Source organism: Homo sapiens, chromosome 10, assembly GCF_000001405.40.
Source record: "Homo sapiens chromosome 10, GRCh38.p14 Primary Assembly".
In the NCBI taxonomy this organism is placed as follows: domain Eukaryota; kingdom Metazoa; phylum Chordata; class Mammalia; order Primates; family Hominidae; genus Homo; species Homo sapiens.
The window spans coordinates 99,352,695-99,379,223 of NC_000010.11; the positions used below are offsets into that span (position 1 = coordinate 99,352,695).

General features: G+C 43.6%; 1 protein-coding gene across 7 annotated transcripts in view, besides 2 other annotated features; it reads left to right on the forward strand.

The window, feature by feature from the left end:
• The window catches only part of CNNM1 (cyclin and CBS domain divalent metal cation transport mediator 1), a 64,975-nt gene that overhangs the window by 23,339 nt on the left and 15,107 nt on the right, over positions 1–26,529 (forward strand). For 3 of the 7 annotated variants that reach the window (NM_001345887.2, NM_001345889.2, XM_011539631.4), the window contains exons 2-8: positions 4,818–4,961; positions 8,141–8,281; positions 9,533–9,702; positions 11,723–11,822; positions 12,261–12,308; positions 15,924–15,986; positions 24,361–24,524. In NM_001345887.2, the coding sequence (NP_001332816.1) occupies positions 4,818–4,961; positions 8,141–8,281; positions 9,533–9,702; positions 11,723–11,822; positions 12,261–12,308; positions 15,924–15,986; positions 24,361–24,524 (830 nt within the window). Of the gene's footprint in view, positions 1–4,817; positions 5,021–8,140; positions 8,282–9,532; positions 9,703–11,722; positions 11,823–12,260; positions 12,309–15,923; positions 15,987–24,360; positions 24,525–26,529 lie in introns of those variants that run through there. The other 4 variants (NR_144311.2, NM_020348.3, NM_001345888.2 and 1 more) reach the window with 2 other exon arrangements.
• Positions 5,268–5,935: an enhancer, noted in NCBI's record as "OCT4-NANOG-H3K27ac-H3K4me1 hESC enhancer chr10:101117719-101118386 (GRCh37/hg19 assembly coordinates)". NCBI's record gives its function as "activates a minimal SCP1, AML or CMV promoter by ChIP-STARR-seq in naive and primed H9 embryonic stem cells {active_cell/tissue: H9 hESC(naive and primed)}" and the evidence as "EXISTENCE:reporter gene assay evidence [ECO:0000049][PMID:30033119]".
• Positions 5,936–6,602: an enhancer, noted in NCBI's record as "NANOG-H3K27ac-H3K4me1 hESC enhancer chr10:101118387-101119053 (GRCh37/hg19 assembly coordinates)". NCBI's record gives its function as "activates a minimal SCP1, AML or CMV promoter by ChIP-STARR-seq in primed H9 embryonic stem cells {active_cell/tissue: H9 hESC(primed)}" and the evidence as "EXISTENCE:reporter gene assay evidence [ECO:0000049][PMID:30033119]".

Sequence of the window (26,529 nt, forward strand, 5' to 3'; positions counted from 1 at the left end):
ACTTTTTAATTGAGTTGGTTTTTTATGTGTTGTAATATTTCATTATATATTCTGGATATAAGTCTTTTATCTAATGATTTGCAAATATTTTCTCCCATTCTGTGAATTGTCTTTTACCTTTCTTGGTGGTGTACTTTGCACAGATGTTTCTAATTTTGGTGAAGTCCATTTGATCTATTTTTTTAATTTGATTGTGTTTTGGGTGTCCTAAGAAATCAATCTCTAAGGTTTTCTCCTATGTTTTTTTCTAAGAGTTTTATAGTTTTTACTCTTATATGTAGGTGCTTGATCCATTTTTAGTTCACTTTTATGTATAGTATGAGGTAGGCATCCAACTTCACTTTTTTGCATGTGGATATCCAGTTACCAGCTACTATTTGTTGACTTCTCAATGTTAAGCATCTTTTCATGTGCATTGACCAATTATTTATCTTCCTTGGAGAAATATCTAATCAAATCTTTTGCCCACTTTTGGAGTTGTCTTCTTAAGAGTTGTAAGATTTTGATTTGTATTTCCTTACTGATGATATGCCAGGTGCTATTCTAGATTCTGAGGAAACAGAAGTAAATAGGATGTAGCATACCTGTTGCCTCTCAGGGAGATTACCCTCACGGGTGGGGGTGGGGATCACATATAAATAGAAAACAACCAAGGTCAAATAATGTGTGTGCAATGCCTGACACTGTGCCTGGCCCCTAGAGTGTGCATAGCAACAGGTAGCTTCAATAATAATAATAACAGCTATTATTGTTATTATAAATGCCAATACAGAGATGTGTACAAAGTGCTGTGGCAGGAGGGAGTGACTTGTGCTTGTCTCAAGATTGGCTTCACATAGGGCCACCCCCAGCACCTCTAGGGCCCAGGAAGGGAGTAAGGGAGGTGCAGGCATAGGGCTCTTCAAGACCAACCTTTCATGAGTGTGTGTGGTATGTGTGACATGGAAACAGCTGGTTTTCTTGTCTCTGTGAGTGTCAACTCGGAATAAGGATTGTGATTGACAATTCCCATCCCAGTCTGTACTTAAGAAGAAATGGCTTCCTTCATTTGTGTGTAGCAGATCTCAACAGGCTTTGGAGGGAAGCTCAGAGGCTGAGAGTAAATTATAAAATGTTTCTAAATAGCTTACCTAGGTACATTATCTTAAATATTATATAATTAGGGCTTAAAATCTCTATTCCTTGGTGATAACATAGTGTGTCCTCAAACTGAACTTTCAAAGTGTAGAGCAATGGTGGTTTTTTAATGTGGAAATTATAGTACTCTTTGTAAAATATCAAAAACTGTTAATTTAATTTCATCATATGAATAAATTATGTTAGTGGTAGGGAGTATGGCTGTATTATATGTATTCTAGGGTTCACATTACCAAAAAATATCCAATTATAGGAAGCAATTTTAAGAAATCACTTTTCCAAGGCTTTTCGTTACACTAGTTATTTGTTTTGTCATCTGCTAGCACATATTAGCAGAAAAGTGAGAATAGGTGCCATAAGTTAAGAAAAATGTGTTAGAAACGAAAAACTTTAAATTGAGCACATTCTAACAATTAATATAATCTAATTTAAGCTACAAAGTACTTTGGCCAAACTGGGTAGGATGTAGTTGTTTCCAAGAAGGATAATTTTAGAACCACTGATGCAAGGTTTAAATTTTAATTTAAACATACTGTTATATTTTATCAAAAAATAAAGGCTTTCTTTAGTATCTGGTTTTAATATCACCTATTGTATAAATTATGAGTTTTTATTCAGTCTTCAGTTCATCAGGCACTGATTGGCTGTCTGATATATGGAGGGAACTTTATTTAAGTATATGATCCTTTGTCCTAAAGTAGTTCATGATCTGAGGAGGAAATGCTGTCTAGTGTAGGACACATACATTGCTAGTTACAAGAAGTAGCAATTTGTGATAAATGCTGTAATAGAGAGGTTGGTTCAGATTCAGAGTCGGGTAGATCTGGGGGAGCTTTCTTGGAGAGCTGGTACCTGGGCTAGAGCTCAAAGTTGGGGGTAGGGGAGATGGCAGCAGTGGGGAAGAGAAATCAAGGAAATGGTGGTAACCTGGTATGCCTGAAGTATAGAATGAGTAGGGGACGTAGCAGGGCATACAGTTAGACAGGGAAGAGCCACATTGTGGAATCTTGATGATATTACACCAAACTAATGAGCCTGGACTTGATTCTGTAAGCAGTAGGTAGCCATAGTGTTTTTGAGGAGAGTTGTAACATGATCAGATCAGTACAGAAGGAGGCTGAAGGTTAGGTTGAAGGTGGGGAAAAAATTAGAGACCATTCTTGGGTGATACAAATGCCGTCTTTCCGATTTCGTTTCAGTTTAAAAACTCCAAGGGGTAGCTATCTTATGATTTCAGATATTTGATACAGAAGTTCATTTACATTTTAATGGTTAATTATGCCTCCCACTAACTGATGACTCCTCTTGACTGATATTTTTTAGCAATGGCCAAGCAAGAGTTTATAAAGGGTAAAACACTGCATGTTCTCACTCATAGGTGGGAATTGAACAATGAGAACACACGGACACAGGAAGGGGAACATCACACACTGGGGCCTGTTGTGGGGTGGGGGGAGGGGGGAAGGATAGCATTAGGAGATATACCTAATGTTAAATGACGAGTTACTGGATGCAGCACACAACATGGCACATGTATACATGTGTAACTAACCTGCACGTTGTGCACATGTACCCTAAAACTTAAAGTATAATAAAAAAAGAGTTTATAAAGGGTACTAATAAAGCATGAACTTGCTTTTTATTGTTTTCCATAATAACATCTGAATCAGTACCCCAGATTTTCTCCTTAAATGTCTCTGAGCCAAGGGAAAGAACCAACCAGATTTTTATTTTAGAAAAAGGACCAGGAAATGTGTCTATACCGCAGAAGAAAACAAACCAATATGAAGCAGGACTATTAGACAAAACTTCAGTCCCAGGTTAGTACTGAACTTAGTTACCTGGTTTGCAATCCAGCTTTGCTCTTACAGGCTGTGTAACTTCAGGCATGCTACTTAACCAATCTGTGCCTCAGTTCTGTTATCTGTAAAATGTGGAGAATAGCACTTACCTCAGTGGTTTTTATGAGAATTAAATAGATAAATTTAGAGTTCTCTGGCACATAGTAAGACCTGAATAAATGGAAACTATTATTATTCAGTCATCGCGCAATAAAAATGAAGTCTATGAAATCTCTGCCTGTGACACATTGTAGTTTATAGTCTTTTCACATATTCACTAGGTCATTTGAGCTCCACAGTCACCTTATAGGTACTGATTGTTCAAACTACCATTGCTGCTAACAAACTACCCCAAAACTTAGAGCCATAAAACAACAACTATTTTATTATGCTCACAGATTCTGTGAGTCAGGAATTCAAAAGAAGTACAGCGGGAATGGCTTATCTCTGCTTCACAGTGTCTGGGGCCACAGCTGGGAGCTGCTTGAAAGGCTGGGGAGAGGCTGGGCGAGGTGGCTCATGCCTGTAATCCCCGCACTTTGGGAGGCCGAGGCAGGTGGATCATGAGGTCGAGGCAGATGGACCATGAGGTCAAGAGATCGAGACCATCTTGGCCAACATGGTGAAACCCCATCTCTACTAAACATACAAAAATTAGCTGGGCGTGGTGGTGCTCATCTGTGGTCCCAGCTACTCGGGAGGCTGAGGTAGGAGAATCACTTGAACCCGGAAGGCGGAGGTTGCAGTGAGCTGAGATCACACCATTGCACTCCAGCCTGGCGACAGAGAGAGACTCCATCTCAGAAAGAAAGAAAGAGAGAGAGAGAGAGAGAGAGAGAAAGAGAAAGAGAGAAAGAAAGAAAGAAAGACAGACAGACAGACAGACAGACAGAAAGAAAGAAAGAAAGAAAGAAAGAAAGAAAGAAAGAAAGAAAAGAAAGAAAGAAAGAAAAGAAAAGAAAGAAAGAAAGGAGGGAGGGAGGGAAGAAAGAAAGGCTGGGGAGTGAGTGAGACAAGGGGCTGGATCAGCTGAGACTGGCAGATCCACTTCCAAGACCACTTCTTCTGCCAAACTGCCTGGCACTTTGGTGGGAAACCTGGAAGGGTGGGCTCAGCTGGGACTGGCACCTAAGCACCTACATGTGGCCTCTCCACTATGGTGGCCTCAGGGTAGTAGTCAGACTTCTTACAATGTTCTTGCAGCAAAAGCTACATGCCTTTATGACCTGGCCTCAGAAGTCCTATAATGAACATTCATTTCCCATTCTCTTTTGGTTGAAGTAGTCACAAGCCCCCCCAGATTCAAGGGGAGGGGCTGTAGATCACACCTCTCCGTGGGAGGCATACCACAAAGGCCATGTTTTAAAATCACCACACTGGCATTATTTCCTGATTCTAGATGAGAGATGGTAATTCAGTGGAGATTAAATGATTTGTCAAGGAATAGTAACTGGGATAGTTAGTGGGGAAGGGGGCTTAGGGGAGGAGAATGACTTTTACCATAATTCTGACTCTAAATTCTTGCTCTTTCAATTAGTATATATTATATCAGCTAACATATACTTGCTAATATGTAAAAGTTCAAAGAAAAAAAACTAACTGGTTTTGAATATATTCAGTAACTTCCCTAAATAGAAACACAAATCTAGAAGAATAAGGTTTGCATTTATAAGCCCTTGCATTTATAAGCGCTTGCATAAAAACTTCATATTTTAAGGAGGTCCAGGGATGAGTGCAATCCTGAGATTGGTCAGACAGCAACTTTGTATCATTTTTCTCACAAAAAAAGATCTCTGAAAATGTCCCCGATACTTAACTGTGATTTCATTTGTTCTCTAGGAAAATCTCACCTGGCCATTGTCCAGCGGGTGAATAATGAGGGAGAAGGGGACCCTTTCTATGAGGTGATGGGCATTGTCACGCTGGAGGATATCATAGAGGAGATTATCAAGTCGGAGATCCTGGATGAAACTGATCTCTACAGTAAGTGCACGGCCTTGGCTGTTCTCCAGGGTCATCTTATTTTCCTCCAAGACTCTCAGGTAAAGCCTCATTTGATTTATAGAAAGGGTGTCAGGGCAAACCCTGTGCCCTGATGTGTGTCAGCCACCTATGCCAGGTGCTGCTGTGGCAAGATACCCTAGTTGGAATCACTTCTGAGTCACTGGGAACATGCTAGCTAAGTGTTTATCAGGAGGGAACCTTCAGGAACTGAGCCAAGACTATGAAAAGGAGACCTCCCAGCCTTTGGATAGAAACGGGACTACAGGAAACACAGTGTTCCCAGGACGGTGCCCAGAGGCCTCTCTGCCCTTGTTTCTGTCCCCTGTGTTCTTGTTTGGTTGCTTCATCCACCTAGATGCAGACCCCAACAGGGGTTCCACTCACATCAGAACATCGCAGTGAGCAGTGGAGACTGTCATGAGATTGCCTACTCACAGCCTAAGCCAAAAACTGAATACTCCTTCTTACAAACTTCCCTGTCCTCTTCTGCCTTTCAGCCCACCACCCTGGGTTTCTGTTCTCTCCCTGCCACCAGCATCCCTGCTCTTGTCTCTGCTTCCTTCTTTCTGGTCTGCTGCCCCTCCTAACTCCCTCACTCAGGAACAATACAGACTTTTCTATGCAGATGTGAGTACTTTGGGTTACTGAACCTTATCAAAGCTTTGCTTGCAAACATTACAAAGGCATGCTTTGTCTTTAGGATTGGAATGTTATCTAAGTCCATGGGAGTCCCTAGGCTGGGAAGTGTTTCCTCCTGAGAATTTCATCTCATGGAATAGCCATCCTTTTCTTCCTTGCAGATAACTCGTTTCAGACTTTGGTCCTTAGTTTGTGAGATGCGGCCTTTCAGAAACTGGCTCCTGGTAGAAAGAGCTTTGATACCATAAGGCAGTGAGCAGTGCAGAAAGAGTGCCTTCCTTTTAGACAAAGAAGAGATCAACTCTAAAAGGTGGGCCAGGCCTTGGCAAAGACAAGCAAGAGAGTCATGGCACCTCCCTCCAAGAGCCTGGGCACTGCTGTGCTTGCCCGGACCAGGCGTGTCTTCCTCACATGAGGAACGAGCTCGGAAATGTCCTCTCCCTCCCCCACCTCTGCCTGCCACTCTTGATTTAGAATTCTCAGGTGTAGCCTGGGCAACATGGTGAAACCCCATCTCTACAAAAAATACAACAGTTAGCCAGGCGTGGTGACGTGTGCCTGTAGTCCCAGCTACTTGAGAGGCCAAGGTGGGAGGATCACTTGAGCCTGGGAGGTCCTGGCTGCAGTGAGTGGAGATTGTGCCACAGCACTCCAGCATGGGAGCCTGGGTGACAGGGCAAGACTGTCTCAAAAAAAAAAAAAAAAAAAAAAAAAAAAAAAAAATCCCAGGTGTCTCAGATAAACTAGTGAAGCCATTCACACTAAGGTGTTAGGTACTGATAATAGTCTAAATGAGTAAGCTCCTCCCAGGGCACTTGTTTGAACAACCTTAAGGCTTCCAACACACACTATTGAAATCTAAGGAGAAGGGGGCGATGAGAGGAATGATTTCCTAATAATGCCATGTTAAGTGGCAATCTGATGGGGGAGAGGGGGGCTATTTAGGCAAACTTATCATACAAATCAGAAAGTTGCTCACTAGTGAGAGCGAAAGAGCTGGGCTAATAGCCTGTATTTTGCTACTCTTTTGCTGAGTGATCCTCTTTCTACAGGAGCAGGTTAGGGTCTTTCTACCTATAAATAGCTGCTGGCATGATTCCCTAAGAGCTATGAAAAGGCCCAGAAGCCAGGGATACTGTCTTTCTTCTTGCATGACCCTGACCTCTTACGTGATCTGGACACCTGGGTCTGGGTCTGCCCATTGTGACTTGAGCAAAAGGAGTGTCAAAGCAGGGGCCAGATGACTGTGAAGGCCCAGAGTCAGAGCGGGCCATGGAAGAGCTGCACCGGCAGGAGGGCACTTTGACCCTTCTAGAAGGAAACCCAAAAGCAGGCCCCAAAAGGAGAGGGGGCACACCAGGGAGCCGGATTCTGGGGCCTTATTTTCCTGCCACAGGGGTTCATTCCCTTTCATTCTCACTGCATCCACTCAGCTTGCACCAGACGTTCCCCCACAGCCCTGTTTCTCTTTAGGCGAAGTTTGGAGAAAACCCAAATCCCTCTCCCTGTTCCCCTTAGTGCAGGTAAGATGGGCTAGCAGTTTCAAAATTTTACTCAAAACTCAGGGAAAGCAAAAGAGAAAGAACCAAAGAAAACATTTCCTCTACCAAAAAAAAAAAAACAAAAAAAAAAGCGGGGGCCGGGGGGGAAGTAGATATATTTAGACAAGCTTTAAAAAGAATGAGAACAAATTAAATTGGAAAAAGCAAATGTTTTCAACCAATAATTACATGCCTGATACATAGGCTCTTGGGAGGTACCAGACCCTGCCTGAGGCCCCCATCCAGAAAACCCACCTTTAGAGATTATAGGTCCAATCTTATTTCTTCTCCTCTCTTCTTCCCTATATTTCCCCTGATTCCCTCCCAGTGGAGGGACTGGGGTTGAAGCAGGGAAATTGTGAAATAAGAGGTGGTGGCCGCCCTCCTTCCTTGTGTGGCATGCTTCAGGTACCACTCAGAGCATGGTTCACATAAGCAGCAGGAGACTAGGTGAGGCCAGTTCAGGGCAAAGGAGGGGGACAGAGTCAGAAATTCCCTGGGCCCCTGCAACCCTCTTGATACTAAGAATGCAGGTCCCTTGTGTGTGTATGACTTTGGGTAAAAGCATTCTCACAGGTAGTTTCCAGTTGGAGTCTCATAATTAATTGCACAAGATGAGTATGAGAGCTATATTAAATATTATTAGCCTCCTTGTACAGATTAAAATAAAAACTCTAATGCTTAGAGAGATTACATGGTAAGTAGGGGAACCAGCCCCAGAACCCCAGACTTGGGTACCCCAAGCCTGCTTTCCCCTTTTTCTACTATACACCCCCTAAGTGTGGAAAACACTGAAATGATGGCAGTCTCCCATTGTCTATCCCTCACCAACATCCTTCTACTTCCTGGGTGATATTGTGATGTCACCCATAGTTGACACTGCAGAAATGTTCTATCTGTCCCCTGTGATTCTGGGAAAACCTCCAAAGATCAACGTGATTCTGAGATAGCTGTAATCTGTCCTCTGTGACCCCACAGCTGACAATCGGAAAAAGCAGAGGGTCCCGCAACGGGAGCGGAAGCGGCATGACTTCTCCTTGTTTAAGCTTTCGGACACGGAGATGCGGGTGAAGATCTCACCACAGCTTCTGCTAGCCACACACCGCTTCATGGCCACAGGTAGGACAAGTCTCCACTCCAGAGAAGCTAAAACAGAATCTCTAGGGTGGGACCCAGGCACCAATCGTTGTTAATACCTTCCAGCCTGATTCCAGTGTGCTGTCAGGACTGAGAAGCACTGTTCTAGGAAGGAGGTTGCCTTAGACAGGGTAATGGATGCCACCTACTGTCGTATTGAGCCCCAGGCCTGATCTCATAGAGGAAGAAATGAGTATAACTCAACTCTTCTACCAGAGAAAAGAGCTAAAGAAACCATTGCTGCACTTTTCCCTCTTCTACTCACTTCCTCGCTGAAGCCCGAGGCCATCTCCCTGTCTGTTAGACTTGCAGTGCCCTAGAGCAGTGCCACAGAAGCCTGTGAGCTATGAATTTTTAAAATACAGAAGTGTATTGTGAATCTTGGGATCTTTAGAAAGAAAAAAAAGTGAGAAAATCCAAAGATAAACTCCTTCTTGTGAAGAAGATAAAGTTTGTCTTTGAACCCTCTGACCATCCATGCCTAATTAATGTGCTGACCTAGAATGATCATATCTATCACTAACTTCAATATTTAATTAATCCAACATATATTTATTGAGTATGTAATGAGTGCTAGCACTGTTTTAGGTGCTAAAGAGTAGAAAATTTTAAGTTGGAGCTGCTTTAAGATAGAATTTCTAGTTCTGAGTACAGATTTCTTTTAACTACTTCCCAGAGCCTATGTTATATAAGTAATATAAGTTTAACATATGTAATATAAGCAATAGCTGTAATATATAAATATGATGCAATGATGCCTCACATTATTGACAACTTATTATTTAAATAATTGCCTGTCTTTAGTAACATGGGATTTCATTTCATTCAGCAGATATATGTCATACAAATAAGCCAGATTAAATTATCTGCATTTCATTCAATTATAGCATTAAAGTCTTTGTTGTTTATGTGGCTTAGTTGTCCATGTCCAATTTTAAATAAAATCAAAGAAAATTAATAATGAAACAGACATTTCCAAATGGAGACCTGTTTCTCCTGAGATGCCAGTGCAGGGACACACATCTCCAGAGGACGTGGGTAAGGCCCTGAGATGCACACTTGGGATTAGGATCCTCCACTCCGGAGGAACTGCAGAAGCCCTGCCAACCTGATGCCCAGGTACAGGCACAGGGGTCCCAGTTGTGCCCACTCTGACTCCTCCCAGCTGCCACTGCTGGAATGGGTGGGACACAGCTGATGCTGATTCCTCCCTTCCCACTCACTCTCCTCTAGAAGTGGAGCCCTTTAAGTCTCTGTACCTTTCGGAGAAGATCCTGCTCCGGCTCCTGAAACATCCCAACGTGATCCAGGAGCTGAAGTTTGATGAGAAGAACAAGAAGGCCCCGGAACACTACCTCTACCAGCGCAACCGCCCTGTGGACTACTTTGTGCTGCTTCTACAGGTGAGTAGGAAAGTCAGGGAACCTCTGAGAGCCAGAGGAGGGCATCTCCAGGGTGAAGAAATGGCCATGCCTCCGTCAGCACCAAGTTCCAAGACTTGGCTGGCTGCCTCAGCAACAAGGCCAGCTGGGTGGACATTTCTTCATGACCCACAGGAGGGGCCTAGACATGGAAGACTGGTGTCCTGGGAGTGCTGGGATCTTTGACATTTAGTTTGACAACTCAGCGATGTTTGGGGTGGGTTGAATACCTCTCCAATAGAGGGGTTCTGCATCTAAACTTCCAGAACTGCTGCTCTGCGGAAGCTATAATACCTCCTCATCTCTGCTTGAACATCCCCTGAAATGAAACTGCCCACTGCCTCCTAAACTTTAGACAACTCTTCTTTAAACCCTTCTCTCTGTCAAGTGGAAATCTCACCATCTGTGACTTCCATACTGGTCCTTGCTCTGCTCTCTGGAGGTACATGGGACACATTCATTCTCTCAGCTGCATTTCAGCCTTTGCAGTTCCTGAAATCTTCTCCCCCTTCAGAGGACCAGGAAGGGGGAAAATGACCTGTTCAAAGAAGTGCAACATCTCCCCAGTGCTCACATAAGTATGATCACCTTCTGCTCTGGATACCTGAATAGGCCTGTCTTAAATAAGTGTCTGACATGATTGCAGCTTGTAACACTGCTGGTGCCCTGTCTGGCTTCACCATTAGCTCTGTCACTGATTCCCTGTCCCTTCCCAACATAATGTTGTGAATCCTAAATACACTGATTGTATTTTAAAATCTTGATTAAGCTCACATGAACTTAGAAATGGTCTCTTTGTTACTGTCCACTTCCAGCCTCTCTGCTCTGTCACTGTAACTTGCCTCACATATATCTTTCCAAATGGTCTGAACAAAATGACCTCTCTTCTCCAAAAAATGTAGTCATGTGCTTCACTGTTGGAAATCAACAAGAATCCTGTTACATTGTTTGTATAATGTAATGATCACATAGTTTCATGTCTTATGCTGAATATAAACTTAACGGTTTTCAAATAAAACATGGAATAAAATGTAGTAGCAAGAGTGTACGCTCAGAAATTTGAAAAATATGGCTTTAAAATTCCATTGTTGCCATTTCCTAACTAACCTGGACCAAGTTATTCAATCTCTGAGCCTCAAAATTGAGTTCCCTGTAAATCAGGGATAAAAATGGCATAGGCTTCATGGGGTTGTGGGGCTAATTGCATGAGAATCTATGCAGTGCACATAATACAGTGTCATGTCCATGCATGCTATGCATTACATATCAGCTATCACTATTATTGGCAATGAATTAAACAAGCTTCACACAGAATTAGATTTTATCTTTTTTTTTTTTTTTTTTTTTTGAGACAGAGTCTCGCTCTGTCACCCAGGCTGGAGTGCAGTGGCCCGATCTCAGCTCACTGCAACCTCTGCCTCCCTGGTTCAAGTGATTCTCCTGCCTCAGTCTCCTGAGTAGCTAGGACTACAGGCATGCACCACCACACCCAGCTAATTTTTGTATGTTTAGTAGAGATGGGGTTTCACCATATTGGCCAGGCTAGTCTCAAACTCCTGACTTCGTGATCCACCCACCTTGGCCTCCCAAAGTGCTGGGATTACAGGTGTGAGCCACCGCACTCGGCCTAGATTTTATCTTGACCTGACTTAGAAATGGTCCAATCTTGGACTAAACCAGTGGGGCAGTTTATGAGGCCCTGGATTAGCTGGTGCTTAGGCCTGCATCATGGAAGGGCCACTACAGTATGCAAGGACAGCTTGGTTATTCATGACTGGATGCTATTTTATGAACAACGAAGCACTGAATTTACTGCAAAGAGCTATTAAAGCTGGTGGTGCTTTCTCACATGTAAATCTGGAGAGAATTAACATTCCTCTGTGATAAGAACATGGGTCTAGTCCACTTGTTATCCAAGCAGAAATGCTTAGGATTCGAGTCAATAGTAGAACTGGAAGTGCTCATACACATTCATAGTACACTTCCTTTTTTTTTTTTCCAGGGTAAAGTGGAGGTGGAGGTTGGTAAGGAAGGCCTTCGCTTTGAAAATGGAGCCTTTACTTACTATGGCGTCCCAGCCATCATGACCACTGCTTGCTCAGGTATTCTAGTTTCCATTTGTTTATTGGGAAAGTAATGGGATATGGTAGAAAAAGCACAGGGGTTCAAGTCTTGACTCCCCCTTTGACTCTTGTTAATCAGCCTGGACAAGCCATTTAACTTCCTTGGCTTTAGTTCCTTCCTCTGCAAAATGGGTGTATGAATCACTTTTCATTCAGTTAGTGCTTAAAAAAAAAGTGACAAAAAATTGAATTGTAAAAAGCAGTAATATTGTCAAGTGTTAGGGATCTAGGGTGGTAGATTTCAGTATGAAAAGACAAGTTTATTTTGCTTTTTATACTTGTTCCCTACCCTTCCATTTAATTGCCTGGTTTTTACAGGGTTAATTGGTGCTGGGGGTGGATAGAAGAGGGAAGATTCCCATAAGAAGTGTGTTTTCTGAGTTGCCTCTGAAACCCACTGCATGCTTCTGTCCTTAGATAATGACGTGCGGAAGGTTGGAAGTCTGGCTGGATCTTCTGTCTTTCGTATGTATCTCTCAAACCCCTTCCTCGTCCTCCCCATCGTAGTCCTGCCTCAGCCCGCTCTGGGGACCTGGACCGAGCACTTTGAGCCTGGGCTGGGGCTAAGACAAATGCTGGCAGCCCCTTTGTAATGTTCTGCCAGGAACACTGCTTCCTGCCAGGTACCCACAGACCATGGGAGCTTAGGTTCTGTGTGTCTGGAATGTTTTCTGCTGCTTCTCTGCTCACATGGTTGGGGGGATGCAGGGGTTGTGAGGGAAGGCACTGCTTATTGCCACCTTCCAGTGAATGCAGGCAGGTGATTTGTGTGCTTGGGCAGAGGCTCAGCCCTTCCTTCTGTGCAATAACAATTCACCCATGGCCTTTACTCAAACACTGTCATATGCTATTATTGTGTCTGTGGGGTTTGTCCTCAGTAAGAAGTGACTGCAAGATTTGGGGATGTAAGTTCCACCTTTGTGCAATACGTTGCTTATCTGCCTCTCTTTCTTGGTTCTCCACCTCTCAGCTAGTGGAGAGGTATCTGCCAGCTGGCTGTGCATGCTGTTGGTGGGGGGCAGGCACAGGGCTGATGGCTGGTTTGCTCTGCCCTTTCTGTGCTGTGCCTTCTTGCTGTTTTCTGTGTAGTTATTGCACTTGTGCTTAAAGGGCATGGCATTTTTTGTGATTAAAAGTGTGATACAGAAAGAATTATTTCTCTAGATTTCTTTCTGATTCACAGTTCTGAATTTTGCATTGCTTTCAGCTGTTAGTGTTTACAGTGACCACTTCAATGCCAAATAGGGTCTTTCCTCTCATCATAAAAAAAGATTTTACATATTGCCTTGTGGTGGGAATTATCAGAGGGTCCCAGAGCTTGATATCATAGTCCCTGGAACATGGCAAGGTAGATACCATTTTAACATGAGTGAAACTAAGGAAATGACTTGCTTCAAATCACCCAGTAAGTTGGTGACCGGCCAAGATGCTTCCTGGTGTCCTGGCTAGTTCACACAGCACAATAAAATACAGATTTCAGATCCATCATATTCTGGAATGCAATTTCTAAGTGGAAATAGTGGAACAATTTACAGTGTAATTGTTACAGTGTAATAGCCCAGCCAGTGGTTGAAATGAAGTACCTGCCCAGTGTGAAGAGTGGCAGAACTTGAGTTGGAGGAGATCTGTAAAATTGAAAAGACCCTGGTACATTATTATACTTAAGACAATGAATCTCAATCAAGGTTGATGAAGGAAGCATTAGTGTTCAGTAGAACTCTGGATGGGTGAGGGACGGGCTACAGGACTTTGGCAAACCTTAGTTCTCTAAAGGAAATCTCCATCATCCATCACATTAGGGACTACTCCTGGGATTCTAATATGTTACCTAGAAATGTCTGTGATCTCTTCCAGAAGACTAAAAGAGGTGGAAATTCTGAGAAAAAAAGACCTACATATGGCTTCCTAGCCCACCCAATTTATATGACCTTCTTTCTTAAAAAAAAAAAAAAAGAAATTGCTGTGGCCGGGCATGGTGGCTCTCACCTGTAATCCCAGCACTTTGGGAGGCCAGGACGGGTGGATCACATGGTCAGGAGATCGAGACCATCCTGGCCAACATGGTGAAACCTTGTCTCTACTAAAAATACAAAAATTAGCCAGGCATGGTAGCACGTGCCTTTGATCCCAGCTACTAGGGAGGCTGAGGCAGGTGAATCACTTGAACTTGGGAGGTGGAGGTTGCAGTGAGCCAAGATCATGCCACCGTACTCCAGCCTGGCTACAGAGCAAGATTCCATCTCAAAAAAAAAATTGTTTTAAGTAGAAGGAAGATGTTATCTGATTTCTTCCTTTCCTTCCTTCCTGTTTCTAGTTCTTTCTTTCAAAAGCTTTCAGTTGCATCAGTGAGATAGAAATAAAGTTGCAACATTGATTTCTCCTTTAAAACTAGTTAACTGAAAAGAAACATAGCACTCTTTCTCTTTCTCTCCCCATGTTACTGAGCATCTCTGTAAATCTTCAGAAGGAAAAAGAAATATTATTAGCCAATGGGGTAAAAAGACATTTTCCATCCTCCCCGAACCCATACTTAGTGTAGTGAAGTGTGAAGTAACTGCAAAGGCCAGCCATACCCCACAGTTATCCCGGGTGAATGCTCAGCCCATGGTCCAGCCACCCAGCATCTTTCACTGGCCAAGAACCTCAACCTATAGGTTGAGGGAGAGCTTAAGTCTAAGCTAAAAGGCAATAAAATCTTGTAGGGTCTTGGCCCAGCCCCGTCCCCCTATGCTTGAAGCTAGCTTAATCAGCCTTTGAGGATGAGGAGTGAGATTATGAGTTTGCTGGAATACTGGCACGATGACCTATGCTTCAAAGTTGAACTTGAGGCTACAAAGAAGTCTCTGGCTTTCCTGCATGAGGTGAAGGGAACATAATCTACACTGTCTTCTTCTTCTTGGTTCTGATTGCCAGGAACCCAGGGTAGCTGGAATAGGTGCACACACAGGTGTGCAGATGTGGAAAGAACAGGTCTCCTGTCTGTTTGGTGTATACAATGTATACAGTTTGGTGTATACATTTATACATTTAGAACTATGATTCTTCTTGAGAATAGAGAGTTTCTTAACTCCATTGTGTCTCATAATATTAGAGGCCCATTCTAATATTCATTAACATCTCATGTCAGAGCAAAGGATTATCAGGTAGGTAATTTCAAATAAAATCATTTGATGTAGCAAATAAAACTGCAGAAGCAGTCTATTTCCATATGCTATCATCTGCAGACTGGTTTCATTTAGCTCCTTAAAAAGGACTCTGGGAATGATCAGATAAGAGAGATGAAGACAGGTTCCCATAGTTCCCCTGCCCAGACACCACTTGAAGGGGGAGGGGCTGGACTGTTATACACACTGAACTCTACCCGGGCCCCCCAGTGATAGCCAGCACCATTTCAAACTCTGTGGGGAAAGAGAAGGACAATGGAACGGAGAGATACTTTGGACCACTGGTACTTACCACAAAGTGGCTTTGATTTAATTCATCAAGTTGATTCACATTAACACTGCTAGAGATATTGTTCTTCCTTTATCCCTATCCTCTAGCAATGCACAGTTCTTCACCAACACTGTGAGCAGAGGGATCTCCTAGGAGTCTGAGGCAGGATCTAGCTTCCTCAAGGATGCCCCTAGCAGGAGCACACGCTTTCCATTCAGGCCTCTGAGTACCTGTGCAGGTGCCCTTGGCAGTTGAGCTCCATGGGAGCTGGGAGAGCTTGGTGGGAATGCAGCGCTGGGCTCCCAGCATGTTTGCTGGCTCAAAATGGGAGCCTCAGAGAATGCTGCCTACATGCTTCCCACAGGGCTCGGCTTGTGCTTGTACATCTGATTCCAAGATGTGTTGCACATCTTTTCAGATGACCTTCAGCAAAATCCATTTTATTTTCTTGTCTTTCTGGAGTGTGACTTTGTAAGAGGATGTGATTCCTGTGTTTTCAGAGTCAAGATTCCTTTTTGCAGAGAAATGTGATGTTGTGAAGATCCAGGAACAGACTGTCTCACCCACTTTGTTCTTTGTCTCTTTCCTTTTGTGTTTATATCTTCCCTTTCGCAACTCACAAATCCTTGGCCCCTGACTCTTTAGTGCCTGTCTCTGTGTCTCGTACCTTCGCTGTCAGCAGAGGGGACTCTCTGGCAGGCTCCCCAGGTAAACATGCATGGGTGTCTCGGGTCTCTGTAGATCCAGAGGGGTTTGCAAGAAGCCTTTGGCCTCTGTCACTTTCCTGCATGAGAACTAATCACTCCAACAGGCACTCCTGTGACTAAGGCATAGCACTTTGCACAAATAGCACTCATTTGCACATACCACCCAGGCATTGCTGGTTCAGTGGTGTCATTTGTGAGTTTACCTCCCAGGAATGTATCTGTGTATGCACATGGAAAAATGGTGGGGGTGAGGGATAGTGTGAGTTTTTCCTCATTTGTCTGACTACAGAATGGAGGGATGAGGAGTACAGCATGAATGAAGTAGGAATAGTGGAATACTGTGCTTTATTTCTACCTATTTTCTTTCTACCTTTCTTTCCTTCCATGTCCTCATCTTCCTAATAATGTTACTATGTGATGATCATATGCTCACTAGCTCTGCTCGTACAAAGGATGCTATATGTAAAACTTTCAAAACAACTTTTCATTAGGTTTAACCTCTTTTGTTGATAAATGAAATAGTCACTGGGTTTCTTTTTAATCGGGTAACAATTCCTCATAGAGCTAGACAATGATTCAATGACTGAGTAGAATGCCACAAATCTGAATGATCAACCGTTTGTTTTCATCTCCAGTGGTTGTTCTCTTGGGCTCATAGAGCAAGTAATGACTAAACCAGGAATGTATTTGTTAAATTGCCCTGCAGTTAGAACACAGTCCAATTTCCTCTACCCTCTAAATCTGTATCCCTTATCACGTTGCTGGGGTAATGATACTAAGACCCCACCATATCCTCAGTCATCGAGAAATCGCTTATGTTTCTCTGTCTATATAGTAGACCCTCAACATTTAAAAAAGGTCATGTTTTGAGACTTCAAACCCTCCAATTTGCAACCTCAGAAGTATTTATGTTGACTTCTGTTTTTTCCCAAAATCACTTTTTTTCATCAAAAACCATCTGGTCCTCATGTTGATCTATACAAGATAAGTTAACCACCTTCTCAAATTTCACCAAAGTTTTCTCTCTCTCTCTCGATGGTGATTTTCCACTAAGAAATAGTTTTTCTTGCTTTGTGAGAGCTCATGCCTTCATAATGACTACAGGATCGGACAGTCAATGTGAAATGCCAATCTGGTGCCCTCACCAGCTAAATGGTCTACTCCTACATGCCCGCAAAATTAGAAATGACCACTTGATGGACCTTCAAGTTCCTTCACATGCAGTGAATCTTGGTGAATGCCAAGAGTGTGCTGTGAAGGTTCAGAGGAAAGGGGAGATGCACATTTTAAAAGACTTTCAGCCCAAAAGATCAAAGCGAGGATGTGTTTTCCTTTTTAATTAACCTTCAGTTAACCAGATGACCTAGTTAATTGTAACTTCCCAGTTAAAGGAAGGTTAATTCTAGTTCATCTGTATTGATTATTATAAAGTCCATGATAACCCAATGTCAGACAGAGATGAAAGTGATTCCCTCCTGCTGTGCAGAACCCCCAGGAAGTGCTGAGACTTCTGATCCAACTCTGGGTGGTGTCATGTGCCCCTGAGAGTATTTTCAACTTTCCCCCCTTTTCCATGACTGTGGATATTCAACACAACAGGAGATTAGTGTCAACACAATGGAAACCCTACCCATAAAGAGGTAAGCTTATTCCCACCCTTGGTTTAACTCTGCAGGGTGGAGCAATGGTGGGTACAGTGGGAGAAAACCAGAGGTAGGGAATGCCTAGTTTCTCCTTTGGCTTATTCCTCTCCACCTTGTGTCTGGTCTCTATCTAGAGCTAATCACTGTGCCTTCCCAGTGATCAGCTGACATCCACAGGACCTATTCTGTGGTATTTCCTCTGTCACTCTTGCTTTTGTTCCAAATCATTAAAAGAAGTAGCCTCAGAGGTCTGGGATTTTTGTAGAAAGAAGTTCCAGGTAACTTCTGGCCCTGTAAGCACAGACTTTGGAACCAAGGGCTCTTATTCAGTGCTCGATCGTCCATTCATAGTGTGCATTGAGATCAACAATGATGCCATTTTCTCCTAGAATATACCAAAGTACCTAAAAATTTTTTTTACTTTGCAAAATGTGCTAAGTGGAAATATTGATTTCTGATCCAGATACATTAATTTACATATATGCTAAATCTCAACCGTATCTTATATGGGAGGAAAATAAATCCTAGAGATTAGTAGGGTCTTGAAGTCTAAGAAAGAATTGTCATTGTCTGATTTGACTCCCCACAATCACTTTGGGAGATAGGCAGGAATAGTCATTGAAAAACAACAGATTAAAAAACAGGTTCTGAGAAAGTCAGTCAGTGTTGTATGTGTATTAGGTAGGCAGAGGGACAAGGACTGGAATCTAAGTCTTAGATCCTGCTCTCCACCTACTGCCTGGGACCTTGCTGTACCTCTGAATATAGACATTTTATGCCCCCTAGAGGGCTGTGATTTATTTGCATTTTGAAAGCAGTGCTAATTACGAATCTGGTGCTCGCACTAGATTGAGGCTAGGGGTCTCTGCACCAAATATTGCCATCATTATCCATAGGGAGTCTCTTTCTATTTGAGCCTTAGTTTGAAATAAGAACACAGTGGTTCACAGATTACCTCCAGGTTGTGGTGTGGTTAACCAACTTGGCAGGTGCTTTCATTTAAAAATGAAACTTCTGATCAGGGGTTTCCCCTGAAAGTACACAGCCCCACTGCAATTAGCATTCCCTTTCCCCATATTCACTCCTTCTTTCTTCTCCTGGTGGTGGAGATAATTTTGAATTCCCCATAACAGTCCTTTCAAATCCACAAAAGCACAGAGACAGAGACTTTGGAACCAACGGTTCTTTTTCAGTGCTCGGTTATCTATTCATAATGTGCACTGAGATCAATAATGACAGTTTTCTGCTTGAATATACAGGGAATCTCTAAAAATAATATTTCTACTTTGCAAAATGTGGTAAGTGGAAATATTCCTTCGGGTTGGCTCTTGTGTGATGAACATTTGGGAACCATTAAAGCTCCGTGTAAAGTGAATGAGTTCATCTGGGATCCTAACTTGGGCTTAGAGTTCACATCGTAGTTTTGACAGACAGCTGGCTTTGGTGTTCGGTTGTCTGATGCTAAATATTGCCCCAGTATAATGAATTTTAATAATTCTAGTTGGTACTCTTACAGGTCTATGTAATTAAGCTTCCTCATCCATTTTGGAGAACAGAGATGGCCCACGGCACAATCACAGTCAGACCAAAGTAGGCCATTCCCCCTCATCCCTCACTGATGGTACAAAAGATGTAGGCAGGCAACCCCTGAACCCTCCTTTTTCCTCAAATCCTCATAGGGAAAATGGGAGCTTAGCATTCTACTTCTGTATCTTGGGGTCTGATTCCAGGATAGGGTTGTGAAGGCTCCCTGGATACAGGTGTCACAAATGAAGCAAGAGTCCCAGAGCTGCTGTGTATAGATTTTCAGGGCCCCTGACTATTACTACAGAAGGAGAGGAGATTCCATCCAGCCCCGATTACAGTGTGAAGTCCTCTTCCATACCCTTTGCCACCCTGCCCCCAATTTTACCCTAGTGCCTTCCCCACCCAAACCTCAGCAATCCAAGTAGCCAACCCAGGACAGATATCTGTTAGAGACTGACCACTCAAAGGCTGCAGGAATGAGGTCTGCCACAATTTCACAGAGCAGAAAACCCTGCTCCCCATCACCCGGTTACACCTGAGCCAACCTGAGGGTCTGATGCAAGAGCAAGAGTGGGCAAGGGATGGGTTGGTTGCTTGGCCTGCTGCCTGCTGACAGGTCCCGGGTTGGTGTCACATATCATACTGTTTGATCTGTCTCCTTCCAGACCTCCTTGCATTATACTTAGGATTTTCCTCCTCGCTTCACTCCCCCAAGCTGTGCCTCTGTGCTCTTAGGATATGCCAAGGGGAATTACACAACTTGAACTAGTTTGCCATGCTGCTAAGACACTCGTCTGTTACTGATTTCTTCTGCTTTTTATTAAAAGCATTTCCATGTCCCTTGCTCAGAAACCTCTGAGTGTATATGCATAATTACCAAAATGCCAAGTCATCAGCATCCAACCTACTAAGGAATGTCAGACTCCAGGACACGAAAACATTGATCTTGCGCAATACTCAGAGGGGCCGGGACTTTCTCACGGAGTAAAGGTTCTTTTTTCTTTTAAAAATTGCTTTTATAGACTCGATCTTTGTAAGACAATTGTATCGTTTGGTGTTGGGAATCCTTTATGATTTTATAAATAAACTTTCAATAACATTGTTTTTACTTTAAAAAAAAAGACATGTTTTTCCTCCTCCCAGCACAATAGTGATGTAGCTTGTGTTTGACATGTGAGTCCTTGTGGGTGTCATCTACACTGGGTGCCAGTGAAATGATGAGAGCTTTGGAGGGAACTGGGATGTAGCTGTTGCCTCTGTTTTCAACAGGAGAAGCTTCCACGGATGGAAGGAGTTTAGTAGATAAAATAGGGCTATTTCCCTGTTGTCTTCCCTGAACATATCTTGAATTGTGACATAAGAGATGAGGATGTGGAACAACTGGTGTAGGGTGTGTGAAGCCCATGTCTGGCCAGGCAAAGTGGAGGATTATTGAGGAATGGTGGTGATTCTCTGGGCAGCTGAAGCCACAAGCCCTGCTCACACTCTCTTCCCTTGGTTATGTCCAAACTGAGTTGAGGTCAAAACCCACCAGATCAAGGTATGGTTTTCCAGATGCTGCACTGGGGCCAAAGAAGCTACTTTTGGGCAGGACTCTCTGCCCCGCTTTTCTGCAACAACTAGCCTGGAGGAAAGAACACAGACTTATCCAGCCACCACCCTAAAACAGCTACAAATGGGTCTGGCCAAGCCAGAACTCATCAATTTGCTTTCTCTTTTCTTCTTTTTTTAATAGATTTAGGGGGTACAAGTGCATTTTTGTTACATAGATATATTACATAGTGGTGAAGTCTGAGCTTTTAGTGTGGCCATCACCCAAATAGTATACATTGTACTCATTAAGTAATTTCTATCCCTCACCCTCTCCTGCCCTTCTGGGTCTTCAATGTGTATTATTTCCCTATGTCCACTTGTACATATTATTTAGCTCCCACTTACAAGGGAAATAATGCAGTCTTTGACTTTCTGTGTTATTTCACTTAAGATAATGGCCTCTATTTCCATCCATGTTGCTGCAAAAGACATGATTTCATTCTTTTTGTGGCTGAATAATATTTCATTGTGTATACACACATACACACACACACATATACAAAATCACATTTTCTTTATCCAGTCATCCATTGATGGACACTTGGGTTGATTCTGTATCTTTGCTATTGTGAATAGTGCTGCAAGAAACATACACGTACAGGTATCTTTTTTACATAATTTCTTTTCCTTTGGGTAGATACCCAGTTGTGGGATTTCTGGCTTGAATGGTAGTTATATTTTTAAGAACTCATCAGTTTGTTTTCAAGGAATGAGGCCCAGAAGTGAAATGTACCTTTTTCTGCCCAACTCTTCTGCTTTTTACAATTAATTACCTTGGTGCTTCATGTTGTTCTCTACATTACCATCACTGTCCCTGTCCCCGTCAGTTCTTAGTCACTCTGGAGAAGGGTCTGGTCCTTCATCACACAGTGGATGGGTAGGGCCCTGGGCATCTGACTTCAGGACCCCTTGTTTCACATGCCCTTATTAAACAAACAGTCTTGCTGCTCCATGTGGCCTCTTCCTCAAGTTACTGGGTCAAGGCCTGAGGCTTCTTGATGCCCTTTGATTCTAGTTGCACACTATTTTACTCTATCCAGCCACATTTCTGGAGTGTCTTGCTCCCCACCCTTACTTCTTGGGGAAGTCAGCTTCCCCAGAATGACTTTAGGTTTGTGATGATTTAAGAGCTTTAGTGACTTTAAGAGCTTTAGTTTGATGATTTAAGAGCTTTAATGACTTTAGCTTTGTGATGATTTAAGAGCTCTGAAACCTTTTTATAAAACAAATTTAGATTATAAACTTTAAGAGTCATTGTATCGCCCTGTGGGACCCTGACGTGCTGACTCATTTATTCTACATGTTTTCCTTGAGTACCTTCTCTAGGCCAGGCACTGTGCCAGGTGCTGGGTGTACAATGAGGATAACCAGAGAAGACAAGGTCTCTGCCCTCATGGAATTAAAAGTTGAATTAAGTAGATGTAACAAGTAGTTACTAATATGTAATTAATACTTGTGAAAGTGCTTTGAAAGGATGGACAGGGAGTCATGATAGAGGAGAACAGGAGGAATCTTCCTAGGTGACCAGACAAGGTCTTCAGAGAAGGTGGTGCCTCAGCTGAGAACTAGTGACTGAGGAGCAGACAGCCATTAGCTGAGGCGGGAGGAGGTGGGGTGGGGAAGGGAAATGGCATTCATCGAGGTGGGGAAAGCCTGCTTAGTTAAGGATGCCCAGGGAGGCCAGTGGCTAAAGCAAAGCAAGAGAGGGGAAAGGAGGTCCCAAGATCAGATCAGATAGGAAAGCAGGGGCCAGGTCACAGCAAGGAATTTGGATTTTATTCAGACAAAACAGGAAGCTGATTTGTGTTTTAAAAATGTGATTCTGGCAGCTGAGGTGAAAACAGATTATAAGATTCTAAGTGGGGAGACTGTGGTCCAGGTGAGGCTGAGGTAGCTGGGATTTGAGTGGAGACAGAGATAGGACCGATGGGCTCATTATGTCAGATGGATCGCAAGGCTGCATGTGGGGCTGAGGGAGCGGCAGGAGTCAAGGACAATCCTGGGGTTTCTGGTTTCAGGAACTGCATATAAGTGGATGACACTTACTGAGAAGGGGGAAGACTGGAAGTGGACTCCTTAATTCCATAATCAGATCAAGGCAGTGATGATTATGGTTCTAATGAGAAAATGATTCAACCTATTATTTTACTCTTTCTGCTACATGGTTTGCCAGACAACAGCTTGGCAGCTAAATAGATCATCAACCTTCCATGACTCATTCTAAATAGAGGCTAATCAAATATTTTGCTTTATCTCAAGAGACAGGATTAAATTCCCAAGGTTCTACCCTGAAAGAGCAGAATCTATAAAGAATCTGATTTTTCATTTGAGGCCCCTGAGCTAAATCTGTGTTAAGAGAAGCTGACAGCCTCCTCATCCCCTTTTTTGGAAGAAGCAGAAGGATTGGGGGAGCTTTGCAGTCTATCACTTGGGGTGGTTCCACGGTTGAGATGATGTTTGGAGTCACCTTCGGTATCCTGTTTTCTGTTGTTCCTGGAGAGGGCAGCTCACATAAAACCAAGTGACATGGTCTTAATTGAACTTTTCCAAGAAGTATTTCTTTAAAATGTGAAAAGAACCTGGCTAAGCATTCAGGAGATCTTTGACAGAAGGCCTGCAGATGATCCCAGTGCCCCCCTCAGGCCTATGCAAGACGGGGCCCAGCCCTAGACCCACACTTTGGCCCTTCTCAGTCTAGTCCATCTATATGGGGCAAAGAGTTCTCAGGGCCAAAGGGATGTGCTGAGCCAGAGCCTGTGTCCTCCCTTCTAAACCACATTTCAATATCCAGAATCCTGGAATCCCCACCCAAACAATCCTAAGGGACCAGGGGTCCAGAAGCCCTAGGGCCAGTGCTGGCTATCCACCCACAGCTCTGTTTTCTGGCATGGTTGCTATGAACATTTGTCAAGGAAGAGGATAAAGCCTATTTTTACCGTTTATCAATGTGACTTCTAACTTAAAAATATTTATCCTTTTGGTTTGTGGGCTTCCGTTTGTCTCAGGCCCTGCCAATGTGGGGGCAGGCCTGAATGCTTCCCACTAAAATGTATGGCCACATGAGGATTGGTTGTCTGTGCTGTGACAGATGGTTTTGAGGGCAAACCCAAGGCCTTGGCCTTTCTAAAATAAGGTTTGTGATTGGAGTTGATGTAAAATACCTCACCATGGTAGAGGGGCGCATGGTCTAGGGTAGCAAGCCATGCTTGTAGTACTGCCCTCATCTCGTTCGGGGTCCTTGTGCACCTAACCTGAAGACAAGAACCAAGGAAGATGTGAACCACCCGTCCCCCCTGTCTGGGGAAAATAGATGCTCCAGCTCCTCACTGGGAGAGGTTGTGGGGAGCAGCTGAGTGGAAGGGAGCCATGAGTTTGTCTTAGGTATTTGTTCCTCTTAGGAATAAACATCAACAAAGCAGCTCAGCTCCTTCCCCGGGCTCTGATGGGAAGGGTGAGGCCCATCACCACCACCCAGTGTTACCATCGCCTGAAAGTCTTATGGGACCTCAGTAAACAACACCTGTCTCTCCCTCCTTCCCTGTCTCCCTCCCTCCCCCTTCTTCCTCCCCACCCATCCCTCCTTGTCTTTTCTCCATCTCTCACCATCTGCAGTAAACCGGTCCCCTTCTCGCTGCAGTGGGTTGAATCGCTCTGAGTCTCCAAACCGAGAGCGCAGTGACTTTGGGGGCAGCAACACCCAGCTGTACAGCAGCAGCAACAACCTCTACATGCCTGACTACTCAGTCCACATCCTCAGCGATGTGCAGTTTGTGAAGGTAACTCCCCCAGGAAGGTTATCCTCTCCCTCCCAGTGGGCAGTGTTGGCTGGCTGAGCGGGACAAGAAGACTACCCCCATTCCTAGGAGGGATGTGTGCACCATTCCCCTGTGTTCCAATACAGTGCTGGGTGGTAACTGCTACTGGCTGTATAAAGGCTGTTTTCAGTAAGCTTTAGGACGGTTCATTATTTGTCACTCTTTTAACATCTCCTGACCCCCTTTTTTCATGTGGGGAAATGAGGCACAAAGCAATAGATTAGCTTGCCTGACACAAATTGCTGCCAGAACCATTTCCTTTGCATCCCCTACCATTGGCATCAGTTTGATTTTATTCATTGGTTTTTCTAAGATAAGATTTTTCTAAGATAAGTTTGCAGGTGATTAATAAACAAAGTGATGTGTAGAAGAAACCATGCTATACATCTGCCTGTCTGTTGGTTAAAAAGAAGAAACCATGCTATACTTTTACATGTGATAATATAATTTTATACCTTAAAGTCTAAAACACAACTTGACCTGTGTGTTAACTGAAAATCTTTTGTAGTCACTAGTAAGACCCCTTGAAAATTACTAAGCTATTTGAAGAGAACCATGTGCAATTGCCCAGGAGAGAGGTAGCAAAAGGCTCATGGCCTCATAATTAAAGAGGAGGGGAGCTATTTCCTCATACCCCTCACTGGGATTGGCATTGCACAGGAGCCTTTAACATTTTCCCCTTTCCTCTTGTTTCCATAGGTTCTTTTTTTTTTTTTTTTTTTTTGAGACAGAATCTCGCTCTGTTGCCCAGGCTGGAGTGCAGTGGCGTGATCTCGGCTCACTGCAACCTCCATCTCCCAGGTTCAAGCAATTCTCCTGCCTCAGCCTCCCGAGTAGCTGGGACTACAGGCACGTGCCACCACGTCCAGCTAACTTTTGTGTTTTTAGTAGAGACGGGGTTTCACCATGTTGGTCAGGTTGGTCTCTATCTCTTCACTTCATGATCCACCTGCCTCGGCCTCCCAAAGTGCTGGGATTACAGGCGTGAGCCACCGCGCCCAGCCTGTTTTGTTTCCTAGTATTCTGCAAACCATGACAAACTTTGTCCTGAGATCTAGCTAGAGCCCCATTTATCCCAGGCCAGCAGAACACCCAGTGGGTTCACTTGGTAGCTGTTGCACAGTTGCAGGCTGGGTCATGAGAGGTGCACTGAAATCACCAGGGTGGAAGAAGGTCCTTCTTTCCAGAACGCACGCCTTCATTATTTGGAGAGGGGTGTGTGCTGGCCGGTTTTCTGTGTTTCAGGACTTTGTGGACAGCCCTGAGTTAAAACTGACATCAGCCTATAAAAGTAACCTTGAAAAGTAACCATGGAATGTTGCCAGAGGGAGGGATGGAACCTGGGGGATGGGGTGAGACAATAACTATTTTTTTGCAGTAAACTGTGCAAGGCACTTTACTGAGTCCTTTGTTTGAATTATCCATTTAATCTCACAGCCACCCTATGAGGTAGGTATTGCTGTCATTCCCATTTTCTAGATGAAGAGTTCAGGTTTGAGGAGTATAGGGTCCCATGGCTAGTAAATGGCACAGCCAAGCTTCAAAGTTGGGTCTTTCTGCCTCCAGAATCCAAGCCCTGAAGTCAGTGGGCTTTAGAGTGAGCGGCAGGACATCAGAGCTAAAGGAACCCCAGGGAAGTGCCTTTACGAGCTGACCGAGCAATGCTCATGGGTGCATATGACTGCGGACACTTAAGTCTAATGTGACAAGGAGGTTAAACCTTAGAAAATCATAGCCCACGATTCTGCTCCTCATAGCTTCCAGAAGCCTTCTCATTGCTAATGCAGACCTTCCCCAGAAGGGGAAGTAGGGAAAAAGTGGGAAAAGAGGAACTCTAATATGTTAAGTCTGGTTGGTTTTCGTGTTGGACATGTGATCTGTGGGGAAAGAAATGGAAAATCATAGTATGACTACATGATTCAACAAATATTTAATGGAGGCCTGCTCTGTTCTTGGCACTGTTGAG